Source organism: Homo sapiens, chromosome 11 (genome assembly GCF_000001405.40).
Source record: "Homo sapiens chromosome 11, GRCh38.p14 Primary Assembly".
Classification (NCBI taxonomy): domain Eukaryota; kingdom Metazoa; phylum Chordata; class Mammalia; order Primates; family Hominidae; genus Homo; species Homo sapiens.
The window spans coordinates 63,855,144-63,878,654 of record NC_000011.10 but is presented as its reverse complement, the minus strand read 5'-3'; the positions used below and the strand labels follow the sequence as shown (position 1 = coordinate 63,878,654).

The window sequence follows — 23,511 nt, the reverse complement described above, 5'->3', positions numbered from 1 at the left end:
GCTCACTCCTGTAATCCCAGCACTTTGGGAGACCGAGGCAGGTGGATCACGAGGTCAGGAGATCGAGACCATCCTGGCTAACACGGTGAAATCCTGTCTCTACTAAAAAAACAAAAAATTAGCCGGGCGTGGTGGTGGGCACCTGTAGTCTCAGCTACTCGGGAGGCTGAGGCAGGAGAATGGCGTGAACCCAGGAGGCGGAGCTTGCAGTGAGCCGAGATCGTGCCACTGACTCCAGCCTAGGCGACAGAGCGAGAGAGACTCTGTCTCAAAAAAAAAAAAAAAAAAAAAAAAAGACTTGAACAAGAGAGCTTCAAAGCATTTGGGGTAGAGCTTAAGGCTGGGTAGGAGAGAGGTTCTGAGGAGATATAAACCCAAATGGAGATGAGGAATGAGGCTGGAGGAAAAGAATTTTAAATGGGTGCTGCCTTACACAAAAGAAGAGCTAATTAAGGAAGACTGGGTAGAACAACTTCCAGCTAGAGGAGAAAAGACAACCTGCAACAGTACCCTGACATAACAGGGGCAAATGCTCTTTACAACTGTCTTCCCTACTAGGCAACCGATGCGGGGGCTGTGCTTCATACCTGCCTTACTGGGCTTGCCACTGCTGCTGCAGTCTCAACCCTGCACTGAGAACCGGATCCTGTTACTAAGTGGCCATGGCCTGGGCAGGTATCCTGGCCAGCTTGCCAGATCAATGGAGGATTCATTTGTCAGCAGTTAGGTGAACAGTGGAAAGCCCGAGCTTCTCAGTGAGACTGAGTATATGTCAGCTTATGGCTTTAGGCTGAAGGTGCCCCTCAAAGCCAACCACTGCTGTTTATTCACTGGCGGCAATGACAATTTTGCTCCAAGGGGCCCTTGCTGTTTGTACTTTCTACCTAGGAGCAGAGTATGGCAAACCAGATGACAGCCATTTTCCATTACGTGTACCTTATTAAAAAGCACTTTTTTTTTGAGACAGGGTCTCTGTCACCATGCTGGAGTGCAGTGGCGCGATCTTGGCTCACTACAGCCTCGACCTCCCCAGGCTCAGGTGATCCTCCCACCTCAGCCTTCTGAGTAGCTGGGACTACAGGTGCCCACCACCATGCCCAACTAATTTTTGTATTTTTTGTAGAGATGGGGTTTCACCATGTTGCCCAAGCTCCTCTCAAGTGATAGGCATGAGCCACTGCATCTGGCCAAAAGGCACTTTTTATACTTAATTCATCCTTTCAGCATCCTATGAAAAGAGTCTGGGCTGGGTGCAGTGGCTCACGCCTGTAATCCCAGCACTCTGGGAGGCTGAGGCGGGCGGATCACTTGAAGTCAGGCGTTCGAGACCAGACTGGCCAACATGATGAAACCCCATCTCTACTAAAAATACAAAAATCAGCCAGGCGTGGTGGTGGGCACCTGTAGTCCCAGGTACTCAGGAGGCCCAGGTGGGAGGATCACCTGTGCCTGGGGAGGTCGAGGCTGCAGTGAGCCGAAATCATGCCACTGCACTCCAGCCTCGTTGACAGAGCAAGACTCCGTCTCAAAAAAAAAAAAAAAAAAAAAAAAAAAGAGTCTGATTGAACTGGTTTCTAAGAGAAGGGAATGGCCCAAGGCAGCAGAAGACCTGGGCTTTGAGCTTTCTAACCTCTGTGGTATGAACCTGGGAATGGCACTCTTCGGTGCAGAAGACCTGGGCTTTGAGCTTTCTAACTTCTGTGGTATGAACCTGGGAATGGCACTCTTCAGTGAGATTAGCTCGTGCACTGGTCGAAGCCCTCAGGAACCAGAACCACCCATTAACAAGTGGCTGGGAGGAAGGGGGCCGCTTTTGGGCATTGTTAGATGTGCTGCTACACAGACTGTGGACAAGGGAATGCTGGGTGTTTTGAAGGAGGCAAGCAGCCAAGTCTGTAGCTCTCCACCTCTGAATTCACTCAGAGATGGCAGGGAAGAAAAGATGGCTCCAAGAGGAATACAGCTCCTACCCAACAAATCCTAAAAGGCAGCTCTAACTGGCAATAGGAATGGCGGCATAAACGAAGACCCAAAGAAGAAACCCACCCAGGATACCTCTCATCAGTAGAATTTAGCTGGGTGGCCAGAGGCCACGGCTACCCATTCTGTTGCTCTACATAGTTCATGCTAACTACCAAGGACAAAGAACCCCACAGCCATAACGGGGTCCCTACCAAGTCTTGAAAACAGTAGGTAAAGAATCAGAAATTACAAAATATCCACACCATCTAAAGCACGGACAACAATGCCTGGCGACATGCTGGTTATTTCTATAATTACATATCCTTTCCCAACTTATTCTGTAGGTTGCCAGAAAATATAACTTGAACTTCTGTACTCAAAGCTCATCACGAATTCTCTGTATCTCCAAAAGGAGATGGATGTTTTCTCCAGGAGAGTCCTGAAGTTGAAGGCTAAGTTTGAAGGCTAAGTTCTGGTCATCTACACACATGGCTTGAACTTGGACTTGGGTTCAAGTCTGCACCCAGGCAGAAAGGCTGCTGTATAAATGGAGCTAGAAAAGTCTCCAGCAGCTCAACCATTTTATCCCTTCCACAAAAGGCCACTCTACTCTCCCCTGATGAAAACACACACATCCCGCCCTAGATGTATGGGCCTGGAAACTCTGCAAATCAACAGTCTTTATGGGAAATGTGATCAGTGTTTTACACACACATGCGTGTGCACAGTGTGGCCAGAGTAAGTCCATTCTCATACACAGTGCTTACTGAAGCTGGGCGCTGCCTCTTCAGCTGTGAGACAAAGGAAACCTGTGTGCATGTGTATGGGGAGGGAAGTGATGGTGCTGCTGAAAGCTTAGCCACACTTCCAGCTCCTGAGTGTGTCTGCCATAGAATCCAGCAGCCTCTCTGGCGGCCAGGCCCCCATCGCCACTGTCCTTCACACAACATAACAGGTCACTGTTTAGGACGATGGGATTTTTGGTGTTGAGTTTTATAGCCCATGAACTAGCATACATCTGCCCCATCTCAAGGGCGGTTTCCTGAAACAGCTGCATGTCCTGGGCCCCTGCAGACAGGATTTGAGAAAGATAAACAAGACGCCAGAACTAGAAATTTTAGGGTGATAAAGAAGGAATGAAAGTTGGCCACAGTGTCTCACACCTGTAATCCCAGCACTTTGGGAGGCTGAGGTAGGCGGATCATTTGAGGCAAGGAGTTCGAGACCAGCCTAGGCCACATAATGAGATTCCCCATCTCAACAAAGAAAAATTAGCTGGGCGTGGTGGCTCACGCCTGTAATCCCAACAACTTTGGGAGGCTGAGGTGGGCGGATCACGAGGTCAGGAGTTTCAGACCAGCCTGAACAACATGGTGTAACCCCATCTCTACTAAAAATATAAAAATTAGCTGGGCATGGTGGCACACACTTGTAATCCCAGGTACTCAAGAGGCTGAGGCAGGAGAATCGCTTGAACCTGGGAGGCTGAGGCTGTAGTGAGCCGAGATCGCACCACTGCACTTAAGCCTGGGTGACAGAGTGAGACTCTACCTCAAAAAAAAAAAAAAAAAAAAATTAGCTGGGCATGGTGGCATGCACCTGTGGTCCCAGCTACTCAGGAGGCTGAGGCAGGAGGATTGCTTGAGCTAAGGAAGTTGAGGCTGCAGTGAGCCTTGATTAGACCACTGCACTCCAGCCTGGGCGACAGAGTGAGACAGTCTCTTAAAAAAGGAGAAGGAATGAAATTATCCTCTTCTCACAGCTGAAAGCCCTACCCCATGGGAACAGACTTTTCCCACCCAGTCCTAAGGCCTCACACACACTCCCATTTACCTTTCTTCGTGGACCAGGATTCCTGCTGGTATCTCCACTCTACCCTGACAGCTCTACCATGTCAAGTGACCGTGGTATCTAACGCTGATGCTGGTTAAAGAGATAACCAAGGTCATGTGAGCTGGGCCGACAAGTTCTGCTGCACTTGTTTATAGACAAGGGGATTAGAACAACCTGTCAAGGGAGGGGAGGGGGCAAACCCTGCGCACAGGGCAAGCATTGGCAACACAGCATAGAGGCCTCCCGCCAAGAAATTTTTTGCTCAAATATAAAGCAGAAATCTCTCACCAAACACCAAACCAGTTAACTATGCCAAATACCACTTATGATCAAGTGACCTTGAGGCACTGCTCAATTTTTCCAATGTTCTTTGGGTTTTTTGGGGGTGGAGTGGAGGGGAAACTAGGAAGGTAGGCAACATAAGGTCCCTAAAAAGCCCCAAGTTCAATTAATACCCAAGCAAAGCATGTAGGGCTGAAAAAAGAGGAGATGTCTTAAGGGTATATTTGTATAAAGCAAGCATTCAATTCTCAGATGCCTAAACTCCCAATCAGAAATCAAAATGCCAAAACAGAACTTTCTGTGACCACTTATGTTGGAATCAGGAGGAAAGTAATTGTTTTTAGGTGCAGTTCCAGGGCAGAGGGGATAAGGCAGCAGGGAGTCTGGACACCAGGCCAAAGTCATCCTCTCTAACCAGAGGGTCAACCTGACAATAACAGTCGCTGGCCGCAAGACACAGGAAGGAAGAGGGAAAGGTGGTCAGCACCTGATCCCCTGGCCTCAGGCACTACAGGCCACAGAAGCTATAAGGCTATGGCACAAAAGCTGACCCCTGGCTCTGTGAAGTTACAGGCTTTCCAGTGCTCCTCTGCAAAACCATTTGTCACAGCCCCTAAATAACCAATCTTCAGGCTGGGCACAGTAGCTCATGCCTGTAATCCCAGTCCCTCGGGAGGCCGAGGCAGGCGGATCACCTGAGTTCGGGAGTTCAAGACCAGCCTGGCCAACATGGTGAAGCTCTGTCTCTTATTAAAAATACAAAAATTAGCTGGGCGTGGTGGCGCATGCCTGCAGTCTCAGCTACTCGGGAGGCTGAGGCAGAAGAATCGCTTTAATCTGGGGTGTGGAGGTTGCAGCGAGCCGAGATCGCGCCACTGCACTCCAGCATGAGCAACAGAGCAAGACTCCGTCTCAGAAAAAAATAAAATAAAATAAACAATCCTCCCCATTCAGCAGGGTCGGGCTGCTACTGGCTGGTCTCTGCCTCAGGCTCTCAAGTCTTAGCAGCGAGAGGATGTTTCCTTTTGGGTTTTCCCACAGCTGGCTGTGGAGGTTGGCAGAAGACTAAAGTGGTGCCCCTTTCCTAGCCAGCCAAAGGGGGAAGGTGAAACAACTGCTGGCAGCCTGTGCTCCCACTCCAACATCCCCTTTCTCTCAAAGGAGCAGCTACCACTCTCTTGACCTTTCAGCCACTGTCTTGTTGAGGCCAGGGAAGATGCACCCAACCTAAGAAAACTGAAGGTAGTAAGTTAGCAACAAGAGAATGGAGCTTAGGAACTAAAGAACCTGGCTTTCGGGAAAAAAGGGATATTGTACTCTAAGAGATTCAAAGAAGAAACTCCCCAAACCACCCAGCCAGCTCTTCTGAAGAGCAGGGGTATTTAGAAGTGCTTTCCATTTCCCAAGCTATTAGAGAACAGGGTGGCCTTGGACAGACCTGGCAGACATCTAGCTGGGTCACCATCACCCCTAAGGAGACTGGTCTCCAGTAACAGCAGAATGAGTGCACACACCTGCCACAGAGTGCCAGCCCGGGACAGTAACGTGCTCCAGAGTTCACATACTCATGCGCCCCGGAATCTCCTCCAGATCACTGCTGACATGCAGAGCAGGGAGGTGGACTGAGTCCCGCTCTGAGCTGGTCACTCCAGTTTGCCTGGCAGGGTGGGGGTGGGGGTGGGGGTGGGGGCAGGGAGAAGTGGGGGAGAGGAGGAGGAGGAGGAAGGGAGATTATGATTCTTTATTTTCAAGCCCTGCCCCTAAAACCAGGGAGGGAAGCGGCGGGGTTCCCGTTGCAGGAGCTCCAATCTCTGGGCACTACAGAGCCAACCAGCTGCATAAGAATTTTGGAGAACGTGCACATCAAACAAGCTGGGAAAAGGAGGGGAAACCAACCACGGTAGAAGCGGGTTGGTCCCCTGCCAAGAACTCTGAATGGTACTCCTATCAGAACTAGAACATAGCAGGAGGTGGGCAGGTTTATGGCCTCTGGGAAAAGGCAGGTTTATGGCCTCTGGGAAAGCAGTAAAGACTGGACAAGCATGGAAACAAAACTCACTCCCTGGCAGGAGACGACAGCCTATGGAGTCAGAAGTGAAATGCTGTCCCAGTAAACCTTTCCCAGTAGGATAATCACATTCTAACCTTAGGTCAATTTTCATGTGCTTTGCCGGCTGTGACCTGGACCCTGCAGTGTGGAACACGGTCACTTCTACAACCCTGTAAGTTAAGGTCTGCACTCCAAGCACTTGTGAGGGAAGAGGGACTCTCATTGGCTGTGTTGTGCAATCTAGTCTGTGGCCAAGGGCAAAGCAGAAGCCACAGATGACAGGCCCTCCCACAGGGAGAGGAAAGCTCCTCCCTTTCCAGAACACAGCCCAAGGCTGCCACAGAGAGGTGCTGTTTAGTGACAGAAATATTTGTCAGGAGTGGCCGGAGGAATGGCCACTACATACTTCCTCTTTCTCACCAACTGCTACCATCAGCCTCCACTGGCTGCCTCTCAAAAGCCTGCAGAACCTCCGGTGGCAGGAGTGTTCTCTGAGTCATTCCCTCAAGAGAAAAGGGAAAGTGGGCCTGACTCCTGGGCCTGAAGAAGCCTCACAGTGCCCTCAGCCAGCCCTTGCTGCAGAGCAAAAGCCAAGGATTGAAATCCTGGACAGCCTACTCTTCACCCACACCTGCACACAGTGAATACTCTTCACCCACACCTGCACACAGTGAATACTCTTCACCCACACCTGCACACAGTGAATACTCTTCACCCACACCTGCACACTGTGAATACTCTTCACCCACACCTGCACACAGTGAATACTCTTCACCCACACCTGCACACAGTGAATACTCTTCACCCACACCTGCACACTGTGAATACTCTTCACCCACACCTGCACACAGTGAATACTCTTCACCCACACCTGCACACAGTGAATACTCTTCACCCACACCTGCACACAGTGAATACTCTTCAGCCACACGTGCACACAGTGAATACTCTTCACCCACACCTGCACACAGTGAATACTCTTCACCCACACCTGCACACAGTGAATACTCTTCAGCCACACCTGCACACAGTGAATACTCTTCAGCCACACCTGCACACGGTGAATACTCTTCACCCACACCTGCACACGGTGAATACTCTTCAGCCACACCTGCACACGGTGAATACTCTTCAGCCACACCTGCACACGGTGAATACTCTTCAGCCACACCTGCACACGGTGAATACTCTTCACCCACACCTGCACACAGTGAATACTCTTTAGCCACACCTGCACACAGTGAAAGCACTCCCTCTTACTCCAGAAGATGGCACATGGCGGTGGGGGGAGCACCAACACTCATCTCAAAAGGCACCCAGGACTGGGAAAAGGAAGTGATGGCTTCGTATTTAAAGCATGCCTTAAAAAAACAACTTTCTGTATGCACGCACGTACACACACACACAAATATGCATATACACACACACAAACATAACTGATTTTATGTATGTGTGTGTAGGTATATACACATATACATGTAAAATTGATATCAAATTAGATCCACATGGTTTCTGGATTTTTGCCCACACTGTATTATGAGCTGGCTGTCTCCCCTTCCCTGCCTGCAGCTCCAGACTAACTCTCTTCCCTTCCTAGAGTCTCACTCTGGGTTCCAGCCACCTGTCTTCAAATGTACAATGGCCTCTCAGACCCCCCCAGGTCTTGGCCACAGCTTTCCACTGCCTGGAACACTTTCCCTCTAGCAGTCACTCCCATTCCTCTTTGTGGTGAGCCTCAGCTCAGACATTGCTTCCACCAGGAAGCTTTCCTGATCCCTGCATCACTTCACAGGGTCTCTCCGGACATTTCCCAGCTCGGGCCTTCCTGCACTAGCACTTCATTGCTTGCTGAACGGCCTCCTTCACAACTCTTGTTGGCTGTCTTGTTCACTATTACACAGACTGAGAGCAGCATAAGGGAATTTCCAAGACTAAATCACTTCGTGTCTTCAGTGCCCAGCCACAGTGCCTGGCACCTAACAGGCTCTCCAGAAATGCTTTCCTAACTCACCACGGGAAGTCTCGGGGTCAGAGTCTTCTCGCTTTTCTCGGAGTGACTCCTCACCCAAAAGCTCTTTGCACAGCTCTGCTCCATGTGACCCCTTTTAGCCTGGGTCAGGGCTAGAATGCTGGTGCCGACTTTTAAATCATTCCCAGCCGGGCGCCACGGCTCATGTCTGCAATCCCAACACTCTGGGAACCCAGGTGGGAGGATCACTTGAGCCTAGGATTTGAGACCAGCCTGGGCAATATTGTAAGACCCTGTCTCCACAAAAATACAAAATACAAAATAAATCATCATTCCCTAGGGCCTCTGGCACCTCTATGGGCATAGTCTCCGGCAGGATTTCAGAGGTGCTCTCCAGTGTGCAGAATTGGGGCCTGCTACCCTTCCACTTGTCCTTTCCCAGCTTGCCTTCTGCCGTTGAGGGCTGCAGCCAGCCCCTCTGAAGTGATGGCAATGGGGGCACGCTGCCAAGGGCATAAGATCCATTCTAGACCCAGCTCTGCGCAAACAATTTATGTCACCTTGGGCAAGTCATTCACCCTCCTGGGACTTTTGTTTCCATGCTTATAAAATGAGGCACCGGAGACGAGCCCTGAGTGTCTTCCTGTATGGATGCGACAGCCCTCAGTGCCTCTGTGCTCACAAGCCTTCCAGCCCTCTTCAAGACCACAGCAGGAAGTGGGCATCGTCTGCATGTCCTGAAGATCGCTTCCTGACCTTGACTTATGTCAAGACAACCTGCCTAAAAGTCTGGCTCCGGAAGTAAACCTCACCTAACATGCCTAAACACCAAGATGGAAAATCTCTTCCACCTAAGGCTGAAAAAATTAAAAGCAACCTAGGTAGACAACTCCAGAAATCAGGGTACTAAGCAGTAGCACACCTCAGAAACATGACAACCCTGAACTCAGGGTGCCCTCAAGAAGGATCATCTCCCTCCCTAGACTTCATTTACTCACAATTTACAAGCTCCCGGCCCCTCCCAGACTCTCCACATACCATAAAAATGTGGCCACAAGGCGCAGGGAAAGGCACAGTCTATTTCCAACAGGCCCCAGGGCTCTGCAGCCTTAGTTTGAGCAGCCCGGACTAGGCACAGCTCCTGTTAAGGTAAGTGGCACACCTAGTTCCTAGCACTTGCCCCCACCTGCAGCATGATTCTCTCAGCTCGGCGAGTCTGCAGGCTTCCAGGTGGGGAGCTGCCTGCCTGCCTGCCGCGAGCAGGTAATCCATGAAGAGAAACTGAGTTGGCAAAGCCTAGCAAGCAGCAGTTTCAGCCTCCCTGCCCAGGGTGGGGGTGGGTGGGGTGAGGGGGGAGCAGGGAGGCAGATACAGGCAGACCAGTTTAACAGGTCCTTATTTCCACCACCCCACACAGCTGGTGCCTTCTTCACCAGTTCAATAAAAGGAGATTCAAAAGTCAGATGACACTTTCATACCACACATCACAAAGACCAGAATCAAGGAAGAAGAAAATGGTCATCCTTCTCACTCTTCCCTCACTCACAGTGGCCTCGGAAAACATGGTCCCTAGTCTCACAGTTCATGGGTCAATCAGGAAAAGCGACTGATCTGCTCTGAGATGCTCAAAGGAAAATCTGGGTCCTCACCATCATCAGGCGCTGAGCTGGTGTGAAATCAGTTCTTCCCGTGCCATGCTCCTGGGCTTTTCTCCCACTATAAATAACTCCAGCCTTCTGACAGACCACATGATCTCTCCAACGCTGGACAATATTCCCAACACTAGTGTTCCTCTGCCCACCCATCAAAAAAGAGGCAAGACTGAGCCCACTGTAACCAGGAGCAACAACGCAGGCAGACACGTTGGTGTCAGGGGCAAGGACAGAACTCAGCAAAGCCAGGAGGGCTTGGCTCTCTGGCTCTGGTCCCCACTCCAGGAAGCCAGACGATTTCCTCAGCAGTGCATCCTCCCTGTGGTTTCCTCTCCGAGTTCTTAACACAATCCAGCAATGGTGTAAATTTTCTCCCTCATCTTCTCATCCTGAAAAAGCACTTCTCTGTAGTCATTACCACACCTACTTAAGATACTGGTTAAGACTTGTGACTTACACAGCCAAAGAATCAGATAGACTGATATCAGACTTACAAATCAATATGGACACACTTCCCTAAGGGTAACTGTAATGGAGAATACCCATGTTACGATTTTTTTAAGTAATTTTTTTTTATTTTTTTGAGACAAGGTCTCAAGCAATCCTCCCACCTCTGCCTCCCAAGGAGCTGGGACTACAGGCCCGCACCACCACACCCAGCTAACTTTTCTATTTTTTATAGAGACAGGGTTTCGCTATGTTGCCCAGGCTGTTCTCAAACTCCTGGACTCAAGCAATCTGCCCACTTCTACCTCCCAAAGTGCGGGGATTACAGGCCTAAGCAACCACACCCAGCCTCATGTTACAATTTAAAAAAATTTTTGTTTCACAAATAATTCATTAAGAGGTGACCATGTGCAAAGTACTCCAACAGTTTCTGGGTGTCCGAAGTGATACAGAGAAGGATAAGATACAGTCCAGCCTTCAAAGAAGGTAACAATCTAGTAGGAGATAAGCACAAATCACACAATCCAGTGTGGGACCCAAATCCACGAACTGAAGTTATGGTCAGCCTATTCCCCCAATTTACTGTCTATGGCTTTTGTTTTTTTTTCAGAGGAACAGTGGGCTAAGAGAGATCTGAAGATCCCTGTGTCACTTCCAGCTAGGACCTGGCTTTCCATGAATGCGGATGCCTGCCCACGGCGTCAGCCATGGTGAGAGTTAGGCAGTGCTGGAATGAGAAGAAGCCACTCTGGGAAACTCACTGAAGAACCAGTCATTTAGCTTTTCTTGTCTTTCATCTCCCTCTGGAAACTTGAGACAGGCCCAGTACACAAACAAAGGTGACATGAGAAGCGCTTAAAAAACCCAAGTTGAAAATAAAGCCACTCAAGACTCTTGGTAATGGAAATGAAGTTGGAAAAAGCCCCTTACAACACCAACAGAAGAAATTCTCTTGGGAAGGAGGTGGAAGGGATTCCTGAAGTTCTATATCCAAAACCCCAATGTCACAAGGCTAGCTGTGACCAAGGAGGCACACTTATATATTTTTCCTTTACTTCCCAATTATTGGTTGTCTGTTTTCCCTAATTCCCATTCAACCAGTTCTATAGCTCAGCTCATAAAACTATACCTTGGCCAACTGTGGTAGCTCACACCTGGTATCCCAGCACTTCAGGAGGCTGAGGCAGGCGGATCACTTGAGCCCAGGAGTTCAAGACCAGCAAAGGCAACATGGGGAAACCCTGTCTCTACAAAAAACGCAAAACATTTGCTGGGTGTTGTGGCACATGACTGTGGTCCCAGCTACTCAGGAGGCTAAGGTTGGGGGATAGCTTGAGCCTGAGAGGCGGAGGTTGCAGTGAGCCAAGATCATGCCACTGCACTCCAGCCTGGGTGAGAGAATGAGACCCTGTCTCAATAAATAAACAAACAACTGTACCCTTATCCATCAGGCTACCAGCAGGTTCACAGCTCTTCAGGAAGATAGCAGGGAGGAATGAATACTAATTCCTGACAGTGCCTGGCAAGAAACAAAATTCTCTAGACAGACAGAAGATTCTATGCCATCTAAAAAAAGAAAAGTCAGTTAATCAGAGCCTGGGGGGTAAAGATTAAGGCCCCAGTCTTCTGTTAGGAAAAAGACACAATTCTGAATCTAGTTCTCCTATCTTAAATGGGAAAAGCTAGTGAGACGGTTGGTCCAAATCACCTCAAAAGAAAATTACTTCTTGAAATTAAAACAAAAAACAAAAAAACACAGATGAGGATGAATGGGAATAGGTTTATTTAAAATCTTTCCTGTACAGTAGATAGTGGATTAGCTACACAAGCCTCTCGGAAATGATGTACCAAGAGGAATTTGATAATAGAAGCATTCTGAATGTGAAACTGGGAGTTCAGCACCTAAACATTTCTTATTGAGAAAAATCCTCACACCACAGTCATAATGAAGGTTTAACATCAGTGTTTGACATTTTGTCATTAAGAGATTGGTTTTAACAGTCTGTATTTGGCAGCCTGCCCTATCGGCTGTTTCACAAGCAGTTTCTGTGGTTTCAAGAAAGGCAGGGTGTTTGCTTTTAAACACTACTTTTTTTTTTTTTTTTTTTGAGACTGAGTCTTGCTTTATTGCCCAGGCTGGAGTAAAGTGGCACAATCTCTGCTCACTGCAACCTCTGCCTTCTGGGTTCAAGCAATTCTCGTGCCTCAGTCTCCCGAGTAGCTGGGATTACAGATGCACACCACCACGCCTGGCTAATTTTGGTATTTTTAGTAGAGACAGGGTTTCATCATGTTGACCAGGCTGGTGTCGAACTCCTGGCCTCAGGTGATCTGCCCGCCTCGACCACCCAAAGTAACACTATCTTAAAATATATATTTCAGAATAGGGTCCAACCATTACAAGAGAGAAAGAGGGAATGAAAACCAAACGAAATAGAGGAATGTGGTGCTACCAAACAGAACAGGAACGCACCAGAGAGCAGGGTAGAAGAGACATTATTCACCACCCACACCAAAATAGCAAGACAAGCCAACTTAGTACTTCTTACTATCAAGTTAGAAAATCAGGACACAAAAGTGGCACTAAAGACATGAGCTTAATAAAGGGAAATCCCTACACAGAACTTCATCTCTCCAAAATCAACTTACCTGGCCCAAATCTATCTGTTTACTTGAAAAAGCACAACAAAACCACCCCAACAGTGCCACATCAATGAAAAGGACTGTCATCTAATCAATTAGCAACCACACCTCTCTGCCAGCATGAGATGTCGGTAATTAAGGTAGAGATTTTTCTCCCTGGGAATACAAGTACAGAAGGGCAGAGCCCCTATGGACCTAACCCATTATGACAGCCTTTTCATTAGCAAGGAAAGCACTGCCACACTCTCCAAGGAAGCCGTGGCCACAGCATTAAAGAACACCTGAGTGAATAGCAGCTACCTCTGTTGAGAGATAAAAATGTGTTGGAGATGGGGTACGGGAAGGGGCAGAACCACTCTGAAGAAAGCCAACAGGCTGTCTTTCTCAAAAAAAGTACATGGACCTTGGCTTTTCCACTCTTAACAAAAAGAGCACCTGTGGTCCCAGCTACTTGGGAGGCTGAGGTGGGAGGGTCGCTTGAACCTTGGGGGCCGAGGCTGCAGTGAGCTGAGATCACACCACTGCACTCCAGCTGAGGTGACAGAGTGAGACTCTGTCTCAAACAAACAAACACCAAAGAGATGGGTTCTAAAGTAGTTTAGAAATGGCACATAACTACATAACTGGGCTGGATACAATGGCGACTGCCTGTAATCCCAGCACTCTGGGAGGCGAAGGCAGGTAGGTTGCTTGACGCCAGGAGTTCCAGGCCAGCCTGGGCAACATGACGAAACCCCATCTCTACAAAAAGTGCAAAAAATTAGCCAGGCATAGTGGCACATGCCTGTAGTCCCAGCTACTTGGGAGGCTGAGGTGGGAGGATTGCTTGAGCCTGGGAGGTCAAGGCCGAGACTGCGTCACTGTACTACAGCAGCCTGGGCAACAGAGTCAGACTCTCGTCTCAAAAGAAAAGAAAAAAGGCACATAATTGTGCTTTTGGATAAGTAAATCTTATTTATTTATTTAATATTAGAGATGGAGTCTTGCTTTGTTGCCCAGGCTGGTCTCAAAATCCTGGGCTCAAGTGATCCTCTCACCTTGGCCTCCCAAAGTGCTGAGAATACAGCTGTGAGCCACCGACTACATCCAGCCCTAAGTGATACCTTAATCAAGGGCAACAGAGCAGGCACAGTGGCTCACGCCTGTAATCTCAACACTTTGGGAGGCCAAGGCGGGTGACAGTCACTTGAGCCCAGGAGTTTGAGACCAGCCTAGCCAACAAAGCAAGACCCCATTCTCTACAAAAAATAAAAATAAAGCCAGGCACGGTGGCTCACGCCTGTAATCCCAGCACTCTGGGAGGCTGAGGCAGGCAGATCACCTGAGGTCGGGAGTTCAAGACCACCACTAGCCTGACCAATACAGAGAAACCCCGTATCTACTAAAAATACAAAAAAAAATTAGCCGGTGGTGGTGCATGCCTGTAATCCCAGCTACTCGGGAGGATGAGGCAGGAGAATCGCTTGAACCTGGGAGGCGGAGGTTGCGGTGAGCCGAGATCAAGCCATTGCACTCCAGCCTGGGCAACAAGAGTGAAACTCCATCTCAAAAAATAAATAAATAGGCTGGGCGTGGCGGCTCACGCCTGTAATCCCAGCACTTTGGGAGGCCGAGGCAGGCAGATGACGAGGTCAGGAGATCGAGACCATCCTGGCTAACATGGTGAAACCCTGTCTCTACTAAAAATACAAAAAAATTAGCCGGGAGTGGTGGCGGGCGCCTGTAGTCCCAGCTACTTGGGAGGCTGAGGCAGGAGAATGTCATGAATCCAGGAGGCAGAGCTTGCAGCAAACCGAGATCGCGCCACTGCACTCCAGCCTGGGCGACAAAGCGAGACTCAGTCTCAAAAAAATAAATAAATAAATAAAAATAAAAAAATTAGCTGGGTGTAGTGGGACGTGCCTATTAGTCCCCAGGTGCTCAGGGGGCTCAGGCAGGACTGTGTGAGTCCAGGAGGCTGAGGCTGCAGTGAGCCATGTTTGGGCCACTACACTCCAGCTTGGGTGACAGAACAAGATCCTGTTTCAAAAAAAAAGTGGTGGTGGTGTGGGGCGGGGGGGCACAGTGGTTCACACCTGTAATCCCAGCACTTTGGGAGGCAAAGGCAGGCAGATCACTTGAGGTCAGGAGTTCAAGACCAGCCTGGCCCACATGGTGAAACCCTGTGTCTACTAAATATACAAAATTAACCAGGTATGGTGGCAGGCGCCTGTAGTCCCAGTTAATCAGCAGGCTGAGACACAAGAATCACTTGAACCCAGGAGGCAGAGGTTGCAGTGAGCTGAGATTGCGCCACTGCACTCCAGCCTGGGTGGCAGAGAGAAACCCTGTCTCAAAAAAAAAGTGGGGGGGTGGGGGGTGGGGGGGTGGGGGAGGGCAATAGTTCACCCCTTTACTCTCACCCCATGCTGGCATCTTAAAATAAAAGGCACCCTTGCCGAAGTTAGACAAGCAAGTAAATTAAATCATACACTCAAGTTCAACTAAAATTCTGTAGAGAGACATAAAGCAACCATTCCCACTAAGAAACAACTGCAGATGTCTAGAATATCTAGATGCCTAGTCCCCATAGCTAGCCATGTGCACAGCTATGGGGACCGGCTTCAGCAGAGAGAAGCAAACCAAAGGAGAGACTGAGCAAATGCAAACAGGAAGTAGTGGCATAAATTACACCAGCGATGGGATAAAGAGACACACAGCAGGATGTCCAGAGTTCAGCTCCCAGGACTGAACTGGCAAGTCCTAAACACACACAAGGCCTGGCACCACCAGCTACGGTGTTCAGGGCTGCTGGCAGTCAAGGCTACAAGCAAGTAGCTCTGTGCCTGTGTGTGTGCAAGTGGCACACAGACGGTTGTAAGAGAGAATCTGAGTTTGCTTCCTAGAGACAAAATATACACAGTTAAGATCCACAGACAAAAGCTTCTTATGTTTAGTGGGGTTTTTTTTGGTGGGGAGTGGGGTGCTTACAAAGAAAGAGTTCTAGAATCCCAACATTTCATGGGTGCCACAAAGCAGGATAGTCAAACCTAGAAATCCATCATGCCCTACACTTTAAGGTACTTAATTGCTGGTTATCAATTTTAGGACTCGGGGCTTTGGTTTTTCTAAAGGGGTTCTTGAAATTCCGGAAGATGGGAAAAGATAAAGATGTGAATCAGAAGCTGGGGTTAAAGAGGGTTTCTTAAAAAGGTCTCCCATAGCTCTTGCGTAGAGCCCTCAATAGTAGGGAGGTGAGCCCAGAAAGCTGCTCCCACTCCATCCACACCATTTCGGCCACATTTACCAATGGCCACCAAGGACAAAAGAAACAACTGGAGGCAGAGGAGGCCATTTGTGACTCTAAATTCCGCTGCAAGACATCTGCCTCACACTGACTGGGAGCTAATCCTAAGGAAACTATCTTCTACTGCCTGGACACAACTGAAGCCAGGGACAAAGGATTCTTCACAACCAAGAAAAGCTGGTTCTGACAATGACATACTCTGGACCACCTGGGTTTGTAGCCTTAAACAAGTTATTCAACATTTCTGGGCCTCTATTTCCTCACCTGTAAAACAGTGAGATCTACTAACTTACAAAGAATAAATGAAGCCAGGCATGGTGGCTCATGCCTGTAATCCCAGCACTTTGGGAAGCTGAGATGGGTGGATCACCTGATGTCCGGAGTTTGAGACCAGCCTGGCCAACACGGTAAAACCGCATCTCTACTAGAAATACAAAATATTAGCCGGGCATGGTGGCGGATACCTGCAATCCCAGCTACTCGGGAGGCAGAGGCAGGAGAATTGCTTGAACCCAGGAGGCGGAGACTGCAGTGAGCCAAGACAGTGCCACTGCACTCTAGCCTGAGCAACAAGAGCGAAACACCGTCTCAAAAAAAAAAAAAAAAGAAAGAAAGAAAGAAATTAGCCAGGCATGGTGGCAGATACTTATAATCCCAGCTACTTGGGAGGCTGAGGCAGGAGAATTGCTTGAACCCGGGAGGCGGAGGTTGCAGTGAGCCAAGGTCGTGCCGTTGCACTCTAGCCTGGACAACAAGAGCGAGACTCTGTCTCAAAAAAAAAAAAAAAAAAGAGTAAATGAGTTAATGAATGTAAAACAACTAAACAAGTGCTTGCGACAGAGTAAGGGCTCAATAAATGTTAGCTATTCTGTCTGTAGCTAAAGATACACAGCCTCAGAGGCAAACCATGCAAAAATGAGGAGACCCTGCCTACTCTTCAACCACTCAGTCCATTCCCTTTAAGGCTGAGTTTCCCAATGACTTGGACCAGATTAATGCGCTTACAGGGCCATCCAGGAGGTGCCATTACTAAGCCGTTGCCTTAACTAATACAGTAAACAAATATTTGAAATTAAAATTCTTGTTTTTTTTTTCTGAGACGGAGTCTCGCTCTGTCGCCCAGGCAGGAGTGCAGTGGTGCGATCTCAGCTCACTGCAACCTCCACCTCCCGGGGTCAAGCAATTCTCTGCCTCAGCCTCCAGAGTAGCTGGGATTACAGACGCCCACCACCACGCCTGGCTACGTTTTTTGTATTTTTAGTAGAGATGGGGTTTCACCATCTTGGCCAGGCTGGTCTTGAACTCCTGACCTCGTGATCCGCCCGCCTTAGCCTCCCTAAGTGCTGGGATTACCCGCGTGAGCCACTGCACCCAACCCGAAATTAAAGTTCCTTATCTTCCACACAGACCAGTAGCCGAAGAGAGAAAATAGCACATTAAGTTCAATTCTGGAACTGAAATGCATGCCACATGTAAATCTGAAAAGAAATACGCTTTGTGGAAAAAGCAGATTATGGGACTTGCTGAGTGATGGGAAATGGAGCTATGATCCTCTATGTAGACACGAATTGATATGTTGAGCACTTGATTAAACAGTTTTAAAAAAATGATTCCAATGAGATGTGATTCTGAGCAAATGACATGAGTTTTTGTTTTTGTTTTTTTTTTTCATTGAGATGGAGTCTCACTCGGTCACCGAGGCTGGAGTGCAGTGGCGTGATCTATGCTCACTGCAACCACCGCCTCCTGGGTTCAAGTGATTCTCCTGCCTCAGCCTCCTGAAGAGCTGGAACTATAGGCACGCGCCACCATACCCAGCTAATTTTTTGTATTTTAAGTAGAGACGGGGTTTCACCATATTGGCCAGGCTGGTCTCGAACTCCTGACCTCGTGATCCACCCGCCCTGGCCTCCCAAAGTGCTGGGATTACAGATGTGGGCCACTGTGCCTGGCTTTTTTATTTCTATTTATTTTTTTTTTTTTGAGAGGGAGTCTCTGTCACCCAGGCTACAGTGCAGTGGCATGATCTCGGCTCACTGTAGCCTCCCCCTCCTGGGTTCAAGCAATTCTCCTGCCTTAGCCTCCCAAGTAGCTGGGACTACAGGCGCACGCCACCACGCCCGGCTAATTTTTGTATTTTTAGTAGAGACGGGGTTTCACCATGTTGGCCAGGATGGTCTCGATCTCCTGACCTCGTGATCCACCCGCCTCAGCCTCCCAAAGTGCTGGGATTACAGGAGTGAGCCACTGCACCCAGCCGACATGAGTTTTAAAAGATTTGCTTAAAGTTGGTCAAAGTGACTATTAGAGGAGGCCCAAGGTCTATTATTTGTAGGACTTAGGGAAGCTGTTAAAAGTTAGAGGTGCTATGGAAATTGGAGAATGAGTATATGCAAAAGAACAAAGTTGAGAATTACAGGGTAGTTTACAGATTATATACTACTACAATTTTCCCTGTCACTTAAGGACTTGTCAAGGAAATACAAAGTTCACACACTGCTACAAACACTCCAAATAAACCTACCTCTTACAGGAAAAATAAAGTATACCTACATAACAGTGGGGTTTACAGGTATGTTTCATTAAGAAACAAGGGTTAGAGGCCGGATGTGGTGGCTCATGACTGTCATCCCAGTACTTTAGGAGGCCACGGCAGGTGGATCACCAGGTCAAGAGTTGAAGACCAGCCTGGCCATCATGGCAAAATCCTGTCTCTACTAAAAATACAAAAATAAGCCGGGCATGGTGGCACGCACCCGTAGTTCCAGCTACTCGGGAGGCCGAGGCAGGAGATTTGCTTGAATCTGGGAGGTGGAGGCTGCAGTGAGCTGAGATCCGGCCACCGCACTCCAGCCTGGGCGACAGAGTGGGACTCTGTCTCGAAAAAAAAAAAGAAAGATAGAAATAGGGGTTAGCCCAGGCATGGGCTTGTGCCTGTAATCCTAGTACTTTGGGAGGCCAAGGTGGGTGGATCACGAGGTCAGGAATTCAAGACCAGCCTGGCCAACATGGTGAAACCCTTTCTCTACTAAAAATACAAAAATTAACCGGGTATACTGGCGGGCACCTGCAATCCCAGCTACTCAGGAGGCTGAGGCAGGAGAATTGCTTGAACCTGTGAGGCGGAGGGTTGCCGTGGGCCGAGATCGTGCCACTGCACTCCAGCCTGCGTGACAGAGCAGGACTCCTTCTCGGGGAAAAAAAAAAAAAAGAAATAAACAGGTTAAAAAGAGTCAAGTACAAAAGGAAAAGAAACAAAAAGAAACAAAGTATGTCAGGTCTCAAGCCACCCAGGGAATAGACTATTGAGTGTCTGGCCTTAGTGACTGCAGCCTACCAGCTCTCAGCTATTGTAGGCACCAAGGTTCTTCAAGGATAGAAGCTGTGTAAGCGTTGCAGTTTTCAAATTTGGAACTGACCAATAGCCAACATATAAGTTAAAAAAAAAACAAAAAAACACAAACCTACCTCATAATAAAACACAAACCTCATAATAAAATCCAAGTAAGCCAAATGATCTTTTTAATGGAATAAAAAAACATAAAGTAATGCTATGTATTCAAAGGAGGAAATGAGCCAACTTTGGCCAAGGTCCATCAGGTCACTGAGAACCAGCTTCCTCAGCTAGAACAACTGAAAACCAAGACAGCAAGTGCCTTCCTGAGGCCCAGCCAGGGCCCCAGAAATTGCAAAACAGAGGCTCATTATGAGGTCATAGCAAGTAATCAACCAATCGAGGACAGGGATTATCAGTCCTATCTCTGTTTACAAAAGAGTTCTCACACTGTCTGGAATCCCTTTACTCTTACTGATGACGTCAAATGGCTTTCTTCATGTGGGTGATAGCTACTGATATTTATTGTATTAAAATTAAAACTGGCCAGGCACAGTGGCTCAGGCCTGTAATCCCAGCACTTTAGGAGGCAGAGGCAGGTGGATCACGAGGTCAGGAGTTCGAGACCAGCCTGAACAACATGGTGAAAACCCTATCTCTACTAAAAGTACAAAAATTAGCCGGGTGTGGTGGCGCATGCCTGTAATCCCAGCTACTCAAGAGGCTGAGGCAGGAGAATCACTTGAACCTGGGAGGTTGCAGGGAGTGGAGATCGTGCCATTGCACTCCAGCCTGGGTGATAGAGTGAGACACTGTCTCAAAAAAAAAAATTACAACTGAGAAAATGTTACACTATTAACTCATGTAAAATTATATTACAGGGCCAGGCACAGTGGCTCATGCCCGTAATCCTAGCACTTTGGGAGGCCGAGGCAGGCAGATCAATTGAAGCCAGGAGCCTAGCCAACATGGCAAAACCCTGTCTCTACTAAAAATACAAAAATGAGCCAAGTGTGGTGCTGTGCACCTGTAATCCCAGCTAGTTGGGAGGCTGAGGCACAAGAATCGCTTGATCCCAGGAGGCAGAGGTTGTAGTGAGCTGAGATGGTGCCACTGCACTCCACCCTGGGTGACAAAGCAAAACTCCATCTCAAAAAACAAAACAAAACAATAATAACGATGATAATATAGCCAGGCACAATGGCTCATGTCTATAATCCCAGCACTCTGGGAGGCTGAGATGAGAGGATTGCTTGAGCCTGGGAGGTTGAGACTGCAATGAGCCGAGATCATGCCATTCCACTCTAACCCGGGTGACAGAATGAGAACTTGTCTCAAAAAATAAAAAAATAAAAAAAAAATGTATCAACCAAAGTCATGGAGAACCAAACCAAGTTTTGTCTACAACCATGATTCTTACAGTTTTTGGTTTCAGGACTCTTTGCATTTTGAAAAATAACTGAACACCCAGAAGCTTTTGTTTATATGAATTTTATCTATCAGTATTTACTATATTAGAAATTCAAGTGAGGAAAAATTTAAATATGTATCAATTCATTTAACAGAACATGAGTAAACTCATTACATGTAAACATAAATGACTTATTTTTAATAAAAAACTTATTTTCCAAACCACAACTAAATATATACCAAAGGAAGTCTACCTGATGAACTAATCTTATAATGCAATCAAAACAAAACAGCTGACCAAAAAACAGGCTGGGGCGGTGGCTCATGCCTGTAATCCCAGCACTTTGGGAGGCCAAGGCAGGCAGATCACCTGAGGTAAGGAGTTCGAGACCAGCCTGACCAACATGGAGACCAGCCTGACCAACATGGAGAAACCCCGTCTCTACTAAAATGCAAAAATCACTTGGTGGCAAGTGCCTATAATCCCAGCTACTGGGAAGGCAGAGGCAGGAGAACTGCTTGAACCTGGGAGGTGGAAGTTGCAGTGAGCCAACATCGTGCCACCACACTCCACCCTGGGTGATAAAGTGAGGCTGTCTCAAAAAACAACAAATACTAACAAATTAAAGAAAGAAAACGAACAAAAAGGAAATGAGTATAAAAACTGAAAAATTTAGGCCGGGCGTGGTGGCTCATGCCTGCAATCCCAGCACTTTGGGAGGCCGAGGCGGGCGGATCATGAGGTCAGGAGATCGAGACCATCCTGGCTAACACGGTGAAACCCCATCTCTAATAAAAATACAAAAAATTAGCCGGGCATGGTGGGGGGCGCCTGTAGTCCCTCCCAGCTACTCGGGAGGCTGAGGCAGGAGAATGGCGTGAACCCGGGAGGCAGAGCTTGCAGTGAGCCGAGATGGCGCCACTGCACTCCAGCCTGGGCGAGAGAGTGAGAGAGCGAGAGAGCGAGAGAGACTTTGTCTCAAAAAAAAAAAAAAAAAAAAAAAAAAAAAAAAAAAAACATGAAAAATTTAAAAATGGAAAAAAATGAGAAAAATAAAAAACAAGACAGGTTGCAGTGGCTCATACCTGTAATCCTAGCTCTTTGGGAGGCCGAGGTTGGCGGATCACTTAGGCCAGGAGTTCGAGACCAGCCTGGCCAACATGGCGAAACACTGTCTCTACTAAATATACAAAAATTAGCCGGGTGTGGTAGCGCACACCTGTAATCTCAGCTACTTGGGAGGCGGAGGTGGGAGGATCAACTGAGCCTGGAGAGGTCAAGGCTGCAATGAGCTGAGATCACGCCACTGCACTCCAGCCTGGGCAACAGAGTAAGACTCTGTTTCAAAATAAATAAACCAACAATAAAGAAATTAAAAGGGAAAATGAGAAAAAAATTTAAGAAATAAAGAAAAAAGGGGAGAAAAAGAATAAACAAGCCATATATTTAAAAAAAAAAAAAAAACAAAAAAAAAAAACCCACAGGGCCAGTGGTGTATGTATCAGAAGGAGGAAATCAGTTATCTTTGGTCAAAGTCCCTCACATCACAGAGAACTAGCTTCTGGAACCAGAAGGACTGCAAACCAAAGTACTGAATGCCTCTTTGAGGCCCAGGCAGGGATTATACTGGGGCTGGGAACCAGCAAAACAAGAGCTCCTTATGAAGTCAAAGCAAGTAACCAACCAACCGATCAAGACAAGGGCCCCATGTTTTGTCTGCTACCGTGGTTTTCTCACCTTTGGTCTCAAGAACTCTTTATATGCTTAAAAAATTATTGAGGACTACACAGCTATCTTATTAGAAATTGAAACTAATTTTAAAAAATATTTATTAATCCATTCAAGATCATAAATCCACATGTTTATGCTAATAATCTTTTTAAAATAAAAAACCTGTATTTTCCAAAACAAAATGAAATTTCACCACAAGAGTAGCAGTGCTTTACATTCTTGCACATCTCTTTAATGTCTGGCTTAATGAAAGACAGCTGACTTCTCTCTGCTTCCACATTCAATGTGTTTTCATAAGTTGTTTTGGTTGAAACATATGAAGAAAATCTCACTTCACAGAGACATGTAGTTGAAAAATAGAGTTCAACAGCCTTTCAGATACTGAGGATTTTCTTCTTTGATACTACACCAAAATTCAACAAGTGGTAGTTTTTAAAGGCTAGTTGCAATGTGGAACCTGAAATTTTATCAAGGAACATTTCATATACTTTTACATTAGTCATCCTGCACTGTTTTTTTTTTTTTTTGTTTTTGAAATAAGGTCTCACTCTGTTGCCCAGGCTGGGGTACAGTGGCACAATCACAACTTACTACAGCCTTGACCTTGGGCTCAAGAGATCTTCTCGCCTCAGCCTCCTGAGTGGTTAGGACTGCAGGTGCATATCACCATGCTTAGCTAATTTTTTAAACATTTTAGCAGAGATGATGAGGTCTTGCCATGTTGCAGAGGCTGGTCTTGAACTTCTGACCTCAAGCGATCCTCCCTCCTCAGCTTCCCAAAGTGCTGACATTACAGGCGTGAGCCACCATGCCTGGCCTCGTCCTGCACTTTGAATGGCTCTTTTACCCACTAGCAATCTGGAAAATATTTCTTCACTGAATTGTGCAGAATTTCCAAACACTGACGTTTC

The 23,511-nt window shown here is 47.5% G+C and overlaps 1 protein-coding gene across 4 annotated transcripts in view, besides 3 other annotated features; it reads right to left on the bottom strand.

Moving 5' to 3' along the window:
- Window positions 1-23,511, bottom strand: part of MARK2 (microtubule affinity regulating kinase 2) — a 71,911-nt gene that overhangs the window by 32,366 nt on the left and 16,034 nt on the right. The window lies entirely within an intron of this gene.
- Window positions 2,897-3,398: an enhancer, noted in NCBI's record as "H3K27ac hESC enhancer chr11:63642729-63643230 (GRCh37/hg19 assembly coordinates)". NCBI's record gives its function as "activates a minimal SCP1, AML or CMV promoter by ChIP-STARR-seq in primed H9 embryonic stem cells {active_cell/tissue: H9 hESC(primed)}" and the evidence as "EXISTENCE:reporter gene assay evidence [ECO:0000049][PMID:30033119]".
- Window positions 6,700-6,809: an enhancer, noted in NCBI's record as "active region_4877". NCBI's record gives its function as "activates an Ori minimal core promoter by ATAC-STARR-seq in GM12878 lymphoblastoid cells {active_cell/tissue: GM12878}" and the evidence as "EXISTENCE:reporter gene assay evidence [ECO:0000049][PMID:35858748]".
- Window positions 8,709-8,928: an enhancer, noted in NCBI's record as "active region_4876". NCBI's record gives its function as "activates an Ori minimal core promoter by ATAC-STARR-seq in GM12878 lymphoblastoid cells {active_cell/tissue: GM12878}" and the evidence as "EXISTENCE:reporter gene assay evidence [ECO:0000049][PMID:35858748]".